Source organism: Homo sapiens, chromosome 12 (genome assembly GCF_000001405.40).
Source record: "Homo sapiens chromosome 12, GRCh38.p14 Primary Assembly".
Taxonomy (NCBI): domain Eukaryota; kingdom Metazoa; phylum Chordata; class Mammalia; order Primates; family Hominidae; genus Homo; species Homo sapiens.
Genome location: NC_000012.12, coordinates 64,851,891 through 64,871,140, shown reverse-complemented (window position 1 = coordinate 64,871,140; position 19,250 = coordinate 64,851,891). Strand labels below are relative to the sequence as shown.

Below are 19,250 nucleotides of genomic sequence, written 5' to 3'. Positions count from 1 at the left end.
CTCCAAAATTTCTCAAGTCCAAGGATTGCATGGCTTTGCAACATTTTAATCATTTGTAAACCCTTCTCCACAGCACACACAGTAGAGACGTGTTTAATACCATCAACTGCCTGGTCCTTGGGGCCTAAAAAGAACCTGCAGTCTTTTTCTTCTTTAGAGCCTGATAAAATAAAATTTAAAATGAGATGCTAAATATGCTATTATGTCATGCCAGCTGTGTTGATGGATACTGAGCTACAGTTAGTAATTCCAAGGCCTTCCTAGGATTATTTGTTCTTCATTTTACAAGTTGAGATAGAGCTGAAATTGATTCAAATGAAGAATCACATTACCTGCCCTGATGTACACCTGATGAACCTGCTGCTGTTGCTTCTTTTTAATTCGAGAGTACTGCCGCTTCAGTGCATTGATATCTGTGGTCATGCGTTCCATCATCATACTGTTAAAAGCTGCATGGTATTCACTTCGACAGGAATTGATTGCTCCTGGACTCAGCTCTGCAATGTTATTAGATCTCAGACTCTGCTCCTCATTTGGCTCTGCGCTCGAAGGATGAGACATAAGGAGATGGTCGGTGGAGGGGAACAGGAGTAAATGGAAATTGATAACACTACAACTCAGTGCGGTATCTTAACCTCCATGAAATTCTAAACCACAGAAAAAAACGCATACTAGAGTTTGTCTAGTGCTTATTTTGATGTGCCCCTGAAAATATTTCTGCATTTTCTTATTAACCTAACTGTGGGTCTGACATGAGCTATATGGGTTCAGAGTTTGATTTTGTTACCAGTTTGTTAGCTATATAGACATAACATCAACTGCTTCCAGATGAAAATCACTGCCATTGTCTAAGATTTCCTTAGAAAGATATAACTCCTAATTTCTAAAATCACTGTACAGATTTCCACACAACGGCATGAGGATTTATACAGAATTGGTTTGTAGAGTTTAGACAGTCATTAAAAGTGCATTCTTCTTACATTAAAGGTAGTAACACAATTTATAAAATTATCAAGACTTCAGACCACTGTATCACTAGAATGAATGCTTTGTTCATTTAACAAACATTTCCTGTCCACTCTGTTGTTATATCGGATGTGGTGTCTGCTCCTGTGATAGCTACAACTAGCAGATTTGTCTCTTAAATAAAATTGAGATGACCTCCAAAAAAGAGAAACAATACTAGGTGGGAGTAACCCACAGACTACACAGGCCAAAGCGGGAGACAGCAAGCTTCTCCAGCACAATTTGTAAAACTGACATGGGAGCCAGAGTCAAAAAAAGACTGAGAGACTCCAACTATCCTAACATCTGCTGAGAGTGTTATTCAGACAAAGGCTAAACATCTCAGAAATTCATTTTTTTACTGTAATCATTTCTGTAAGGAGAAGAAAATTAAAAGAGAAACTGCTAATCAGAGCAAAATCAACAAGAAAGACTAATGATGAAATTTAGGAGAAAGTGATCATGTCATCCTAGAGCACAAAAATGCACAGAAAGAAAAACAGAGAAAAAAAAATGAAACATAGACCCAGGCTACAGAAACGCAGATTCAAAAACTTTACCATTAAAATACATATTGATCCTATGGCTAGAAATCAAAAGCTGGAACTCAGGCAATAAGAAAGGGGGTAGAAGGCATTGCAGAAATCAAGAAGACTCTTGTTGGGTTCAGATTTTTAAAAAGCCTTTAAAAGGATGACAGAAGAGCACATACCAAAGACATACTCACAAAACAGTATGAGCCCAGCCATTAAAAAGGTTAAAACTCAAACAAGCTGAGGCTTGCAGGAAATACTCCAAAAGATCACCACCAAAAGTTAGAAGTAGCAGCAGCTGCTGCCACTGCTCCTATCTTCCAAATAAGAACCAAAAAAAGAGAAGATAGCCCCATGACTTCAAGAAGGTAGTAAAAAGTTAGCAGATGGCAAAGAGAACACAGAGGTGCCTGACATCTATTCAGTTTCTGTCCTCTTTCAGCATATTTCTAATATCTTTGAACAAGGAGAATGGTCTTCAAACTAGAAGAGGTAGAATAAATATCCTAAAAGAAAAGCTTCCACCCAAGACAAGAAAGGACGTAGAGAACCACAAACTTTAAAACAGTGCATAACATTGATAATTCCAGACCACAGAATTCTATTCTGTTTAGAAAAAAAAAAATGAAATAAAACATGCATGTGATTCAGAGCACAACATTTTAAGGGGAACATTACCAAATTACAGGATATCTAGAGGTAAATTAATAGAATATTAGGAGGTCCAGAAGTCATAACTTAAGAGACATGCTTAAAGAAATTCTGAACTGGGGCCTTTGAGAAAGCTTTGGAGGACATGATAGCTGTCCTCAAAGATTTGAAGAGATGTCAGGTAGAAGAGGGAGTAAGTAGACTTGTTCTGGTTTTTTCCAAAGGGAAGAATCCTCTTTTCCAGCTGGAACCATGGAGGGTGTCGAAGAGAAGAAAAAGAAGGTTCCTGCTATGCCAGAAGCCCTTAAGAAAAAGCAAAGGAATTTTGCAGAGCTGAAGATCAAGCACCTGAGAAAGAAGTTTGCCGAAAAGATGCTTCAAAAGGCAAGGAGGAAGCTTATCTATGAAAAAGCTAAACACAGTCACAAGGAATACAGGCAGATGAACAGAACTGAGATTCAAATGGCTAGGAGGGCAAGAAAAGCTGGCAACTTCTATGTTCTTACAGAACCCAAACTGTCATTTTCCCTAAGGATCAGAGGTATCAATGGTGTGAGCCCAAAGGTCTGAAAGGTGGTGGAGTTTCTTCACCTTTGTCAGATCTTCAATGGAATCTTTGTTAAGCTCAGCAAGGCTTCAATTAACATGGTGAGGATTGGAGAACCATACATTTCATGGCGGTACCCAAACCTAAAGTAAGTAAATGAACTCATCTACAAGTGTCATTATAGCAAAATCGAAAAGAAGCAAATTGCCATGACAGATAACACTTTGATTGCTCAATCTCTTGGTAAATATGATATCATCTGCATGGAGGATCTGATTCATGAGATCTATACTGTTGGAAAAGGCTTCAAAGAAGCCAATAACTTCCTGTGACCCTTCAGATTATCCTCTCCACAAGGTGGAATGAAGAAAAAGACCTCCTATTTTGTGGAAGGTAGAAATGCTGGCAATAGGGAAGAGAAGAGCTACAGGCTTATTAGAAGGATGAACTAAGGGGTCTACCATGATTATTTCTGTAATCTGGTCAGTTAATAAACAGTGATGCCTTCAAATAGAAAAAAAAAGCAAAGAGAAGAACTATTAGTAGAACGGGTAGGTGGAAGTTATCTCTTTGTAAACAGAAACCATGGACTAAGGGGAAGAATCAAGCAAAGTGTCTTGTGAAATAATAAGTTTCTTGTCACTCAAGAAATTCAAGTAGAGGTCACCATAATGTTTTGATTTAAAGGGTAATCCTATTGGAAGAGAAGCCAGTCTGGAATAAATTAAACTCAGATGGAGTATATTAAGCATCTACTATATGCCAGGGTCTGTGCTAAGGAACTTAGCATACAAAGTTGAATCCAATGCATGGGAGCAAAAGTCACCACAGAGAAAAAGAAATGTGTACTACGCATGCAACACATAATACAGAGGAAAACCATTACATAATAAAAAGATAAAGTAACAGAGAAGATACTTTTAGTAACAATTTTTTTTTTTTTTTGAGATGGAGTCTTGTTCTGTTGCCCAGACTGGAGCGCAGTGGCATGATCTCGGCTCACTGCAACCTCTGCCTCCTGGGTTCAAGCGATTCTCCTGCCTCAGCCTCCCAAGCAGCTGGGACTACAGGCACGCACCACCACAGCTAATTTTTGTATTTTTAGTAGAGACGGGGTTTCACCATATTGGCCAGGCTGCTCTCAAACTCCTGACCTCATGATGCATCTGCCTCAGCCTCCCAAAGTGCTGGGATTACAAGCGTGAGCCACCACACCCAGCCTAGTAATGACTTTTTAATGTTGTTGTTGTTGTTTGGTAGAGACTGGGTCTCCCTATGTTGCTCAGGCTAGTCTTGAAAACCTGGCTTCAAATGATCATGCTGTCTCAGCCTCCTAAAGTGCTGGGCTTACAGGCATGACCCACCATGACTAGCCTAATAAAGACTTTTAATAGTTGTAACCAGTTCAGAAAGTTACTGGGGCATCTATAGGACACAATATCACTCTTATTGTAGTAAACCAATACATCATGATAATCTAAATCAAGAGCCACCTCTTTACCTTTAATTTGTTTTTGGTACTTCTGCAGTTCAGGAGCCAGGAACCCACTAAAAGGTCCAAGACACCCCACTGCATTAACGACAGCATCCTCATCGTCTGGGTCATTCTCTTCATCACTGTCTCTGGCCTTACTATGTCGTCTTGGAAAACATAAAAGACAAAAAAGAAATATACAAAGAAAACCATGGTATTTTAAAACATAATACAGTTACATGGTTTAAATGCCATATATATAATTAACATAGAATTACATATAATTAACATTGTGAAACCCCATCTCTGCTAAAAATATATAAAAATTAGCCAGGTGTGGTGCCGCACACCTGTAATTCCAGCTACTTCGGAGGCTGAGGCTAGAGAATCGCTTGAACCCGGGAGGCGGAGGTTGCAGTGAGCCAAATCACGTCACTGCATTCCAGCCTGGGCGACGACAGAGCAAGACTCCGTCTCAAAAAAAAAAAGAATTATATATAATGACGTGATTTATAAAGTTTCCCTCCCATCTCTGTCCAACTTCTGCCCATTGAAACTAGTAACCATGGTCATTTGTGAGAATCTCCCATCTAATTCCCACAGGTGATCACTGTTACTGGTTCTTATGTATTCTTCAGTTTCTCTGAGCACACATAAGCAAATATGACTACATGCTTTTATTTTTCTCTTCTTTTTGCATAACTATTAGCATACTATATATGCTCTTCTGCATCTTGCCTTTATTTATACAAGAAATCTTTACGGGCTGGGCACAGTGGCTCACACCTGTAATCTCAGCACTTTGGGAGGCTAAGGCAGGATTGCTTGAGCCCAAGAGTTCAAGACCAGACTGGGTAACATAGCGAGACTCTGTCTCTGCAAGAAATTTAAAAATTATCCAGGCACGGTGGTACGTGCCTGTGGTCCCAGCTACTTAGGAGACTAAGGTGGGAAAATCACTTGAGCCTGGAAGGTTAAGGCCGCAGTATGCCATGATTGTACCACTGCACAATCATGGTACACAAGAATACACAGAGCTTCCTTATGCTTTCTTACAGCTCTACTGGATGTACACGCCCCATAGTGTGGAGCCAGGCTGCTAATGGTATACACTTGAGTGGTTTCCAATAATATACTATTACAAACTCCTAGGCGCAAGCAATCCTCCTGCCTCAGCCTCCCAAGTAGCTAGGACTACAGGTATGCACTACCACACCCTGCTAATTTTTGTAATTTTTTTAGAGACAGGGTCTTGCTACGTTGCCCAGGCTGGTCTCGAATTCCTGGCCTCAAGTGATCCTCCTGCTTCAGCTTCCCAAAGTGCTAGGATTACGGGCGTGAGCCACCACACCCAGCTTGGGTGGCCATTTTCTTATCGATTTCTAGGAATTTTACATATTAGCAATATCCATCCCTATTTTGCATAGTAAGTTAAAAATATCCTTCCACAGATATTTTTGAGTCTACTTATAGAGGTTTGGTTTTGTTCCATTTGGGTCACCCAGAAAATTATATTTAAAGGACTTAATTTTTTCCCTTTTTTTAAATTTTGAGTCAGTTATTAAGGCCTTTCCAATTCCAAAGAACTAAAGGAATTCTTCCACATTTTCTTATGCTAATTTTATTATTTCATTGTTTCTATTTAACACATTCATCCATATGGAATTTACCCTGGCATCTAGTATGAGGTCTGACTCTCATTTTCTTTCCAAATTAGTTCTCATTAGCCCATCACCATTTACCAAACAGTATAACTTTTCACCATTGATTCAATATGCCTATTTTTCATATGATAAACTCTTTATCAATTGTCAATTTTTGGTCTTCACAGTTTTTAAATTAGCTCATCTGTGTACTTGTATACAGGTTCCACACTATTTTAACTATTGAGATTTTTAATGCTTGATATCATTAGATAAGTTGTGGGGTTGCTAAATCTCTCTTCAGTTTACGTTCCAAATTTCTCTGCAAAGTACACTTTTAAAAATCTCTCTTGAGTTTAAATCAAAACCATTTGGAAAGGGACATTAGATTCTAAGTGTCAACTTACTTTAACATATCTCTGGGGCTTCATAAATATTAATTTACAATAACAAATTAAGATATTAAGTCCTCCATCATGAAAACAACAAGGAATTTAAAAACCTTACCCAGAAACTGAGGTGGGTTTAACTGTGGCTGGGAACGGTGTAATGTTGTAGGTGTATTTTTCCCTCAACTCTGCCAATTGTGGGAAAGGGAACGGAGCCATGGAATAAACAGTCTGTAAAACAAAAGCAAAAATGCCAAGTCTGAAACAGTAGCCTTCACAACTCTTATCAATCCTGGAAAGACATTAAAGTTTTATGAAGTCGAGTGTGAAGAGGCAGATACTGCTCCTTACACAGCAGGTGGAGAGATTCCACTTCAACATCCGCTTTCAAGACAGACAAAAGAAGATGATTAAACCCGACCCAGTGGGCTCTCAAATCAACCCAGCTGCAGCTGGGCATTCCAACTGGTAAACAAGGGTGGGCAATCACGGGCAGTCTGATTTCCTCCTGTTGTTCAATAAATGGATTAATGCAGAAATCCACAGCTCCCTATGTCTTCTGTATCAAAGAACTCACAAATGTCCTTCCTATGTAGTGCTTACTTTTCACAGCTCTGTTAGATGATTTTTAGACATTTAATGTCAGGTCAGCCTTCTGGATAAAATTAAATCTAGTGGATGATCTTGTGATCGACTACAAGTTTTCTCCAAAGATACCACCTTTTTAAATGTCTGTGGATGAGTTCTAGGTGAAAATTGTTAGGTGGTGTTTTTAAAGGAAAAAAAAAAAGACAAGAAAAAAGTGACAGGGTGTAAAGCCTAGGCTGTTATAACTCTATAAATAAAAATGGGGAAAAGCACCTGTGCTTCCACCAGAATTTCAAAATTATGTATCATTCTATCAGCAATAAAAGAGTAATATTGTTTGCTTTCTTATTTTTATTAAAATTTAATAGCTCCAAACATGTTTCTTCAATCCTGGTTCTTATTCACCAGAAAACATATATCAATCACATGTTCATTTCTCCTGGGAAGCCAAAGAAATAGCCTGATAATGCTTTCCTAGGAAAATATTTTAAAAAGGTATTTTTTATTTCAGCAGGACTGTTTTTATGAAGGCTTAGAAGATGTCTAATTTGGCATGTGCCAAAAGGAAGGCTGTGAAAGGAGTTTGATTGTGATGCTTCTTCATTTTATAGCTTAGTGCCACCATTGTGACAGTCCCCTGTAATTTTATTCTAACAACCTGTACATCTGACTGTCCCCAGATGTCATGGTATCCCTTTATACTTTACTGTACCAGCCCAAGATTCCAAACAAGTAGGTGTTGGCTAAAATTCCTTCTCTTCAATTCTCCACGCTTACTGTGCAAAGCTACACAGCTTATAGGGACTGCAAACATAATCTCTAAGCTGTCTTATCATAGACACTCCAGACTTGATTATACCCAAAAGGCTGAGAAGGAGTACAGGTTTACTAACAATAAACTGTGCCCCAAGAAAAGAAGCAGAAGGCATCTTGTGGCTCTCACTAGCCTTGAGTGTGAAATTAAACCAGTTCCCCACCTCTCTGGGCTTCCTTTTCCTCATTTAAAAAATAAAGGGTGTGAAACTCAGGATCGTGGTTACCTCTGAGAGGAGAGATGGGAATAAGATCAGGGAGAAGTTATATGAGGGTGTTTTCCCGTGGTTGTTAATTTTTATTTCTTAAATTGGGTGGGGGATATGTAGATTTTATTGTATTATTCTTAATACATCCTATATGCCCAAAATATTTCATATAATTTTATTAATAATGTAGTCAGAAGCACTCTCATGTCCTTTGATCCCACAAAGCTATGCAACAGCTACCTCGCTGCCACTGCAGAATTCTTCCCCGCTTGCTCTTACTATCATGTCTTAGCTCCACATACCCTTTTGAGGGAAGGCAAGAGATGTGAAATCCTCTCCTCAGCAGCCAATCCAGAGCACAGCACCTTCTCTAGGGGCTGGGTAGGAGCTGCATTGCCCTAACTCTATCTGACCATCACATATCAAATGTGATCCCACAGCTGGGCCAAGAATCAACCCTCATTCATGTAATTTTTTTTCCTCCCTAACAGTTTAGAAATGTGTTCAGACATTTAAGAAACCCATGTCCTTTGGATTCAACTTTAAAAGATGAGATTTTTGATGCTAAGAATTTCAAAATTCCTTACAAGTGAAATAAGATGTCTTATTAAAGACAATAAGTAGGATGATGAGCTAATGTTTCACCTGTGTTTAATTTTTGCCAGTTTTGTAACAAGGTATCAGTAAATTCCCTCATCCAGCCTTGTGAAGGAAGTTCATAAGAGGAACAGGGAAGTACATCCTCCCCCTACTGCACCCTGCCCTGCCCCAGGGATGATGGTCTAGGCTCTGAGCAAGATCCCTCAGGGGCCACTCAGCTAAAGACACCTGACCAAAAAGAAAACTAGCTCCATTGCACTTTCATCCTCTACTTCATGTCTTCCTTTCTCTGTCACTGACTTTTAGTAAGTCCTTCAAAGAACAAATCAGTATTCCTGAAACAAAGTTGTTTATAGTAGTTCTTCCCAAATATTCACTCACTTACTTTAAGGTCTCACATCTGAAGGCATGTTTATCCCAGGAGCATAAGCATCCCTGGCACACCGACATAGCACTCAGGGTGTCGGAAATCTTTAGGCCTCCACCTTGGTAAGTCGGAGATTTACAACAGATTCCAAGAAAGAGATTTGACTAATCATCTTAGAGCCAAAATATGGTACAGTAATAGAATCACAGGGTTAGAAAAGAATTCAAACATATTAGTTCCACCTCCCTCCCAAGTAGGAGTCCCTTCTAGAGCATCTCCAACAGATGGCCACAAAGGCACAACTTAAGCACTTTCAGTTATGGGCACACACAGTTTTGCAGGACAGACGGTTTCAATTTAATTCATCAAACATGATCCTTGTATTGAACAAGTATCCATACCCTTGTAATTTCCACCCCATCACTTATGGAAAAAAGTGAACAGAGTGGGTGCAAAGGAAAGTCCTGCCTCTCAGTACATAAGATCTCCCACCAGACAACAGGAAGTCAGTCACAAACACTTTGGGTTAGGCTTCCCAAGCACCTATAAACCCTAATAATAGCATCTTAACTAATTTATCTCTACACTGCCCTCAAGGAATTTACAAGAGGCATTGTCAAAAATCCTACTGATATCCAGGTACATTATGTAATCAGCATTCCTCCAGTTTCTTTACCCTATCAATTAAAAAAAAATCAAACAAACATGAAAATGACCATTGCTAATAAGAAAACAGTGATCTACAAGGGGGAAACCCCAGCATATGATTTTCAGTATGGCACTTAGAACAGAAAGAAAAGGGAAAGACTGAAAGGGGAGAATGCTTTCATCTCTTCGGCTCAAAAATAAAGACCTTACATTCAGCCCACATTTTTCATCTGGCACTATTTTGGGTTTGCTGACAGCACTAAATTAAAAAAAAATGAATGAATATAGGAAAGAAAATGGCCTGAAATGACATTCACCATTTCTCTCCTGAACATTCTATGATGTCAAGGAAAACTAACAAGTCTATTTACTATCTGAACTACCAACATACACTTAAATAGACATTTATATTTAGTCACTGAAAAGACATTATATTTTGTAATTATTGATATGCTTTACAAGAAATATGAAAACATGAGTTGCACAAAATTAGGCTTAGTTCATCTTCACGCAGATGTTTTCCTCGACAGGAGGGATGCTACTCAAATGGAATCCCATCAATCAATCCACAGCCTACAGTTCTCCCTCTAGGATTCTTCTGCTTTAAGCAGTGTCAAAGTGGTTCCTTCTCCTAATACCTAAGATTGGAAATTCCTAGAGGACAAAGATGGCATCCAACACATCTCATTCCTTCTGGCAACGTTTAAACTGTAAGCGAAATGAGATGTTGCCTTATTCTTCTAAAGATGATTTCAGCTTTTAGAAAGACATCTTTTGAATAGGTGGAAGCAGTGTGTTGGGTGGTGAGGAAAAGCATTCAGCTAGGAGTCAGGGACCTGGAGGCAGTCTTGGGTCTGCCACTAGACAATCTGAGAAACCAACAAGTTGCTCACACTCCAACTCATAGTTTCCTCTCTCTAACATGACAGAATTAGCTTAACTGATCTTTAAGTTTCTTTAAAGCCAGTGTTTCTTTGTTTTCTGAAAACCACCTGTATCAGAACCACCCATGGGCCAAATGTCTGCATTTTCATACACTCCTGGATGTTTCTTACACAGTCCAGTTTGAAAACCACAGCCTCAAGATCTAACATTTCATGATTCTGTGTATTCACTGAGTAACCAGTTGTATTATTCACACTAGGCTAGATGTTGCTGAAGCCCGTAACATTAAGGAACTTGCTACTTACAGAAAAAAAAAAAGTAATATACTTTAAAAGCAGCGGGTGCAGTAGCTCATGCCTGTAATCCCAACACTTTGGGAGGCCAAGGCAGGCCTCGCCTGAGGCCCAGGAGTTCAAGACCAGCCTGGGAAACATGGCAAAATTCCATCTCTAAAATACATTAAAAAAAATTAGCCAAGCATGGTGGCATGCACCTGTAGTCCCAGCTACTTTCAGGGCTGAGGAGTGAGGACTGCTTGAGCCCAGGAGTTCAAAACCAGCCTGGGCAACATGGTGAAACCCCATCTCTACAAAAAATTTAAAAATTAGCCCAGCCTGGTGGCACATGCCTGTAGACTCAGTTACTTGGGGGGCTGAGGTGGGAGAATCGCTTGAGCCCAGGAAGTCAAGACTGCAGTGAGCCATGTTCATGCCACTGCACTCCAGTCTATGTGACAAAGTGAGACCATGTTTTAAAAAAAAAAAAAAAAAAGAAGAAGAATCTTTAGTACTGGAGGAGTACAGAGGAACCATCATCCATGAGTCCTGAAATAACAGAGGCTCTGGGAGTGGGAAAGAGAGGAGATTGAGCGGCATCCAGATGGGCAAATAGGATTTTCACAGATGCAGCATCAGAGGGACCACAAGACCTGTTGCAGAATAAGCAATGGCCTACAGAGGCCTGGATGGGAGCAGAGCTATGACCAGTGCCATAGAGTCTGTCTGTGAAATAGCAGGAACACCTTGGATAGGTCAGGAATGGGGCAGTCCAAGTACACCTCCAAAGCAACCTATCTGAAAATGAACCCATCCTCCTCCCCTCAGAAACTTGCCCTCTTCCTTCTAAGCCAGGAGATTATGGGTTGCCCTTTCTCCCCCATTACTTTTTCTTTCACTCCTGTATCCCTTTTCCATGGCCAAGTCCAGTCAATTTCACCTTGTAAGTACTGTCTCTGTTCCAATCTGTTTCCACCCTTCACTGCCTCCTCACAGGCCTTCCTGCTGTCAGACTTGTCCCTTTGAAATCCATCCTTCACAGAGCTGCCCGTGGAGTTGACTCAAAACAAAACTCAAACCATTTTCCTCCTCTCCTTAAAATCTTTCAGGTCCACAGATCTTCTATTCCCCTTTCCAAAGGGTCCACAGAAGCCTTAGAACTCCAGCAAATACAATCTCTCAATCACTGACCTGAAACATCAAGTCCAAGTGCCTTACCAGGCATTGTGGTCTTTCATGAGCCAGTCCCTGAATTCCAGCCTTCTGACAGTCCCCCTCACACTTATGCAGTATATTATCAACAGACCTTGACACATGCTGCTCTCTCAAACACAAATTGACTCTCCACTCTGCACCAGAGCCTTCAACACACAAACGCACACACAACACCCTCGCATATATGTGCACCCCTCCACACACACACACACACAACACCCTCGCATATATATGCACCCCTCCACACAGACACACAGACACACACACACACACACACAGCCTAGTCAAATCCTATTCTTCTGTAAAGGTAAAACCAGACATGAATTCCCTCAAGAAAGGCTTTCCTAAATTCCTCTCCTCCAACTCACTCCACCCCTGCCCCTCAGGCTAGATGAGGTCTTCTCTCTTCCTCAGCCCCCAGCCCCTCTGCACACCTCCCTCGACGCACTCCCCACACTGTGCTCTAGGAGACTATAGGCTCCCGATGACATAGCCCATGCTTTCTTCTGTGTCCCTGCACCTGGCACATTACCTGACATTAGAGGTGCTCGATAAATATTTGGAGAAGTTAATATACAGCATAGAAAATCAGGCTGAAGCATTTTATTTACCGTGGTTAGTAACAAGGAAGTGCTGAAGGACTTAGTGTAGAGCAAGGAAATGACCAAAGCAGTAAGTATGGATCATTACTCTGGTAGCAAAATGCTGGGCCCCTATTCCAGGCCCTAGCTCCCAGATGACATTTCTAGCCACACCCTGGGCCAAAAGGGAACCCCACTGCCTTAAAGGGAAGGACCCAGCACTGGTAGGATTCATCACCTGCTGACTAAAGACCCTGAATAACAACCAGAAATATCCAGGGAGTATGCCATGGGCCCTGAGCTCTGAGACATGCTGGCTTCAGGGGAGATCCAGCATATTCCCAGCTGTAGTGGCTACGGTAAAAGACTCATTCTGTATTAGAGCAGACGGAATCTAGAAAGACAGCCATCATCTACAAGTTGGGTTTAATTCAACATTTATTGAAAAAGAAAAGGCAGAAAACTAACCATGGATTCTCAATAAATGTTTGTTTAATGAATTAGTAAGTTTGGTGGGAATGGAGGGTGGGCGGCAGACAAGATGGCAGAATGGAAGCTTACACCATTCATGCCCCCTGCTGCAACACCAAATTTTAACAACTATCTGTACACAGAGAAGCACGATAACAAGAACCAAAAATTAGGTGAATAATCACAATATCTGATTTGAACTCCATATCATGGAAAGAGGCATTGAGAAGGGAAGGAGAGACAGTCTTGAGTCATGGATGCCACCCCTCCCCAATCCCCTGGCAGTGGCCATAAGACATGGAGAAAGAGTCTGTGCACTTGGGGATGGGAGAGTGCAGTGACTAGAGGACTTTACATTGAACTCAGTGCTGCTCTGCCACAATGGAGAGCAAAGTTGTGCTGGGCTCACTCAGCATTCACACACAGAGGGGGCATTTGAACCAGACCTAGCCAGTGGGGAATCGCCCATCTAGCTGTTGGAACTCGAGTTCCTCAGCAAGCCTCGCCAGTGCAGGCCAAAGTGCTCTGGGGTCCTAGGTAAACCTGAACAGCAGACTAGGACACAAGGACTGCAATTCCTAGGCAACTCCTAGTGCTAGGCTGGGCTTAGAGCCAGTAAACTAGGGTGGCACATGACCTAGGGAGACACAAGCTGGTTTGGCTATGGGAGGGCTTGCGCCATCCCTCCCCCAACCCCAGGCAGTGCAGCTCATAGCAATGAAAGTGACTCCTTCCTTCTGCTTAAGGAGAGGAGAATGAAGAGTAAAGAGGACTTTGTCTTGCATCTTGGATAGCAGCTCAGCCACAACAGGATAGGGCACCAGGCAGAGTCATGAGGCCCCTATTCCAGGCCCTAGCTCCCAAATGACATTTCCAGCCACACCCTGGGCCAAAAGAGAACCCCTGCCTTAAAGGGAAGGACTCAACACTTGCAGGATTCATCACCTGCCGACTAAAGAGTCCTTGGACCCTGAATAACAACCAGCAATATCCAGGGAGTATGCCATGGGCCCGAGCTCTGAGACATGCTGGTTTCAGGGGAGACCCAGCATATTTCCAGCTGTGGTGGCTATGGTGAAAGACTCATCTGTTTGAGAAAAACAGAGGGAAAAGTAAAGGGGACTTTGTCTTGCACCCTAGATACCAGCTCAGCCACAGTAGAGTAGAGCAACAAGCAGGCTCTTGGGGTCTCTGAGTCCAGGCCCAGGCTCTTGGACAGCATTTCTGGACCTGCCCTGGGGCAGTGGGGAGCCCACTGCCCTGAAGGGTGACTCCCAGGTCTCACAGCATTCACCATAAGCTGATGGAAGAGCCCTTGGGCTTTAAGCAAACATTGGTAGTGGCCCAGCAGAACCCCCTATGGACTAGTGGTGGTGGTGGCCACAGGTAGAAGCTCTTCTGCCTGTGGTATGGGGAGGGAAGAGCAGGAAGAACTTTGTATTGTAGTTTCAGTGTCAGCTTAGCTGCAGTAGAATAGACTATCATGTAAATTTCTAAGGTTTTTAACTCCAATCCCTGGCCCCCAGAAAAAAACTCTAGACACACCTGGGGCCTGGGGGGAACTCACTGCCCTGAAGGGAAGGGCCTTGGGCAAGGCCCAGTGCTGAGCTAACTTCAGGTCTGACCCAACACAGTCCCAGTGGTAGTGGCCACAGGGGTGTTTGCATCACCACACTCCCAGTTCCAGAGGGCTCATCACAGAAAGAGACTCCACATGTTTCAGAGAAATTAAAGGAAAAGAATGAGTCTCTGCCTGGTAATCCAGAGAATTCTTCCAGATCTTCTGAAAGACCACCAAGGTGGGTACCTCTACAAGTCTGCAAAAACCACAGCATTATTGGGCTTGGGGCCCAAGTCCCTTCTAATACCTGGTGATAATTTGGATATTTTTCTCACCCAAATCTCATGTTGAATTGTAATCTCCAATGTTGGAGGTGGGGCCTGGTGGGAGGTGTTTGGATCATGAAGGCAGATCCCTCATGAATGGCTTGAGCCATTCCCTTGGTGATAAGTGAGCTCTTGCTCTGAGTTCACATAAGATCTGGTTGTTTAAAAGTGTGTGGCACCGCCCCCACCCCCCCCATCTAACTCTCTCTTCCTCCTGCTCTGGCTATGTGACATGTCTGTTCCCTCTTTACCTTGCCATGATTAAAAGCTCCCTGGGCCTCCACAGAAGCCAAGCAGATGCCAGGGTCATGCTGCTTATACAGCCTGCATGAACCAATTAAATTTCTTTTCTTTATAAATTATCCAGTCTCAAGTATTTCTTTGTAGCAATGCAAGAATGTCCTAACACCTGGAAAGCCTTCCCAAGAAGGATAGGCACAAACAAGCTCAGATTGTGAAGACTATAATACCTAACTCTTCAATGTCCAGACACAAGAGAACATCTACAAGCATCAACACCATCCAGGAAAACATGACCTCACCAAATGAACTAAATAAAGCACCAGGGACCAATCCTGGAGTAACAGAGATATATGACCTTTTAGACAGAGAATTCAAAAGAAATTCAAGATAACACAGAGAAGGAATTCAGAATTCTATCATAAAAATTTAACAAAAAGAGTGAAATAGTTAAGCAGAAATTATGGACTTGAAAAATGCAATCGACACGCTGAACAATGCATCAGAGTCTCTTAATAGCAGAATTGATCAAGTAGAATAATTAGTGAGCTTGAAGACAGGCTATATGAAAATACACAGAGGAGATAAAAGAAAAAAGAATAAAAAATAATGAAGTATGCCTATGGAATCTAGCAAATAGCCTCAAAAGGGCAAATCTAACAGTTATTGGCCTTAAAGTGGAGTTAGAGAAAGAGATAGGGATAGGAAACTTATTCAAAGAGATAATATCAAAGAACTTCCCAAACCAAGAGAAGTACATCAACAGTCAAGTACAAGAAGGTTATAGAACACCAACAGATTTAACCCAAAGAAGACTCCCTCAAGGCGTTTTACAATCAAACTCTCAAAGGTCAAGGGTAAAGAAATGATCCTAAAAGTAGCAAGAAAAAAAAAATGAGTAACATACAATGGAGCTCCAATATGTCTTGCAACAGACTTCTCAGTGGAAATCTTACAGGCCAGGAGAGAGTGGCATAACCAGGAGAGAGTGGCATGACATATTCAAACTGCCAAAAGAAAAAAAAACTTCTACCCTAGCATAGTAAGTATATCCAGCTAAAATATCTTTAAGCATAAAGGAAGAATAAAGACCTTCCTAGACAAACAAAAGCTGAGGGATTTCATCAACACTAGACCTGTCCTATAAGAAATGCTAAAGAGAGTTCTTCAATCTGAAAGAAAAGGATGTTAATGAGCAAGAAGAAAGCATGTGAGGGTAAAAAACTCACTGGTAATAGTAAGCACACAGAAAAACACAAATTTAGGATAACACTGTAATTGTGGTATATTAACTCCTCTTGACCTAAGTAGAAAGACTAAATGATGGCCAGGCGCGGTGGCTCACACCTGTAATCCCAGCACTTTGGGAGGCCAAGGCAGGTGGATCACAAGGTCAGGAGAGCGAGACCATCCTGGCTAACACGGTGAAACCCTGTCTCTACTAACAATACAAAAAAATTAGTTGGGTGTGGTGGCAGGCGCCTATAGTCCCAGCTACTCAGGAGGCTGAGGCAGGAGAATGGCATGAACCTGGGAGACGGAGCTTGCAGTGAGCTGAGATCATGCCACTGCATTCCAGCCTGGGTGACAGAGCAAGATTCCATCTCAAAAAAAAAAAAAAGAAAGAAAAAGAAAGACTAAATGCTGAACCAATAAATAATAACTAGAACAACTTTTTAAGACATAGACAGTACATAAAGAGAAACAACAAGGAGTTAAAAAGCAGAGGGACAAAGTTAAAGTATGGAGTTTTTATTAGTTTTCTTTTTGCATGTTTACTTATGCAACCAGTGTTACGTTGCCATCAGTTTAAAATAATAGGTTTAAGATAGTATGTGCCAGTGTCGTGGTAACCTCAAATCAAAAAACATACAATACACAAAAAATAAAAAGCAAGAAATTAAAGCACACCACCAGAGAAAAATCACCTTCACAAAAAAGGAAGACAGAAACGAAGGAAAGAAGAAAGAGAAGCCCACAAAACCACCAGAAAACAAATAACAAAATGGCAGGGGTAAGGCTTTACTTATCAATAACACTGAATGTAAATCCACTAAATTCTCCAATCAAAAGACACAGAGTGGCTGAATGGATGAAAAAATAGGACCCAATGATCCGTTTCCTACAAGAAACACACTTCACCTGTAAAGATACATATAGACTCAGGTAGCTGGCAAGATGGCTGAATAGAAACAGCTCCAGTCTGCAGCTCCCAGCAAGATCAATGCGGAAGGTGGGTGATTTCTGCATTTCCAACTGAGATACCCCGTTCATCTCACTGAGACTGGTTAGAAAATGGGTGCAGCCCACGGAGGGTAAGCTGAAGCAGGGTGGGGCATCACCTCACCCAGGAAACACAAGGGGTTGGGAAACTCCCTCCCCTAGCAAAGGGAAGCCTTGAGGGATTGTGCCATGAGGAATGATGCATTCTGGCCCAGATACTATGCTTTTCCCATGGTCTTCACAACCCACAGACCAGGAGATTCCCTCGGGTGCCTACACCACCAGGGCCCTGGGTTTCAACCACAAAACTGGGCAGCCATTTGGGCAGACATTGAGCTAGCTGCAGGAGTTTTTTTTTCATACCCCAGTGGTGCCTAGAACATCAGCAAGACAGAACTGTTCACTCCTCTGGAAAGGGGGCTGAAGCCAGGGAGCCAAGTGGTCTAGCTCAGTGGATCCCATCCCCATGGAGCCCAGCAAACTAAGATCCACTGGCTTGAAATTCTTGCTGCCAGCACAGCAGTCTGAAGTCAACCTGGGACACTCAAGCTTGGTGGGGGTAGGGACGTCCACCATTACTGAGGCTTGAGTAGGTGGTTTTCCTCTCACAGTGTAAAGAAAGCTGCCAGGAAGTTCGAACTGGGAGGAGCCCACCACAGCTCGGCAAAGCCGCTGTCGCTAGAGTGCTTCTCTACATTCTTCCTCTCTGGGCAGGGTATCTCTGAAAGAAAGGCAGCAGCCCCAGTCAGGGGCTTATAGATAAAACTCCCATCTCCCTGGGAGAGAGCACCTGGGGGAAGGGGCAGCTGTGGGCGCAACTTCAGCAGACTTAAATGTTCCTCCCTGCTGGCTCTGAAGAGAGCAGTGGATCTCTCCGCACAGTGCTCGAGCTCTACCAAGGGATAGACTGCCTCCTCAAGTGGGGCCCTGACTCCCGTGCCTCCTGACTGGGATATACCTCCCAGCAGGGGTCAACAGACACCTCATAGAGGAGAGCTCTGGCTGGCATCTGGCAGGTGCCCCTCTGGGACAAAGCTTCCAGAGGAAGGAACAGGCAGCAATCTTTGCTGTTCTGTAGCCTTCACTGGTGATACCCAGGAAAACAGGGTCTGGAGTGGACCTCCAACAAACTCCAGCAGACATGCAGCAGAGAGGCCTGACTGTTAGAAAGAAAACTAACAAACAGAAAGGAATAGCATCAACATCAACAAAAAGGATGTCCACACAAAAACCCCATCCGAAGGTCACTGACATCAAAGACCAAAGATAGATAAATCCATGAAAATGAGGGAAAACCAGCGCAAAAAGACCGAAAATACCAAAAACCAGAACGCCTCTTTTTCTCCAAAGGATCACAACTCCTCACCAGCAAGGGAACAAAACTAGACAGAGAATGAGTTTGACGAATTGACAGAAGTAGGCTTCAGAAGGTGGGTAATAATAAACTCCTCTGAGCTAAAGAACCATGAAGCTAAGAACCTTGAAGAAAGGTTAGAGGAATTGCTAACTAGAATAACCAGTTTAGAGAAGAACATAAATGACCTGATGGAGCTGAAAAACACAGCACAAGAACTTTGTGAAGTATACACAAGTGTCAATAGCCAAACTGATCAAGCGGAAGAAAGGATATCAGAGACTAAATAAAGCACGAAGATAAGATTAGAGAAAAAAGAATGAAAAGGAACAAACAAAGCCTCTAAGAAATATGGGACTATGTAAAAAGACCAAACCTACATTTGAGTGGTGTACCTGAAAGTGACGGGAAGAATGGAACTGAGTTGGAAAACACTCTTCAAGATATTACCCAGGAGAACTTCCCCAATCTAGCAAGACAGGCCAACATTCAAATTCAGGAAATACGAGAACACCACAAAGATACTCCTCGAGAAGAGCAACCCCAAGACACATAATCGTCAGATTCACCAAGGTTGAAATGAAGGAAAAAATGTTAAGGGCAGCCAAAGAAAGGTCGGTTTACCCACAAAGGGAAGCCCATCAGACTAACA

The 19,250-nt window shown here is 42.1% G+C and overlaps 1 protein-coding gene and 1 pseudogene across 14 annotated transcripts in view, besides 2 other annotated features; one reads left to right on the top strand and one right to left on the bottom strand.

The window, feature by feature from the left end:
- TBC1D30 (TBC1 domain family member 30) overlaps positions 1-19,250 on the bottom strand; it is a 121,550-nt gene that overhangs the window by 9,893 nt on the left and 92,407 nt on the right. For 10 of the 14 annotated variants that reach the window (XM_047428596.1, XM_024448903.2, NM_001330187.2 and 7 more), the window contains 3 exons: positions 6,361-6,473; positions 4,238-4,377; positions 333-539 (listed from right to left, as the gene is read on the bottom strand). In XM_047428596.1, the coding sequence (XP_047284552.1) occupies positions 333-539; positions 4,238-4,377; positions 6,361-6,473 (460 nt within the window). Of the gene's footprint in view, positions 1-100; positions 161-332; positions 540-4,237; positions 4,378-6,360; positions 6,474-19,250 lie in introns of all 14 variants that reach the window. The other 4 variants (XM_047428595.1, XM_024448904.2, XM_011538078.3 and 1 more) reach the window with 1 other exon arrangement.
- On the top strand, positions 2,422-3,253 carry RPL7P39 (ribosomal protein L7 pseudogene 39; annotated as a pseudogene).
- Positions 11,519-12,018: an enhancer, noted in NCBI's record as "H3K4me1 hESC enhancer chr12:65252903-65253402 (GRCh37/hg19 assembly coordinates)". NCBI's record gives its function as "activates a minimal SCP1, AML or CMV promoter by ChIP-STARR-seq in primed H9 embryonic stem cells {active_cell/tissue: H9 hESC(primed)}" and the evidence as "EXISTENCE:reporter gene assay evidence [ECO:0000049][PMID:30033119]".
- Positions 12,019-12,520: an enhancer, noted in NCBI's record as "H3K4me1 hESC enhancer chr12:65252401-65252902 (GRCh37/hg19 assembly coordinates)". NCBI's record gives its function as "activates a minimal SCP1, AML or CMV promoter by ChIP-STARR-seq in primed H9 embryonic stem cells {active_cell/tissue: H9 hESC(primed)}" and the evidence as "EXISTENCE:reporter gene assay evidence [ECO:0000049][PMID:30033119]".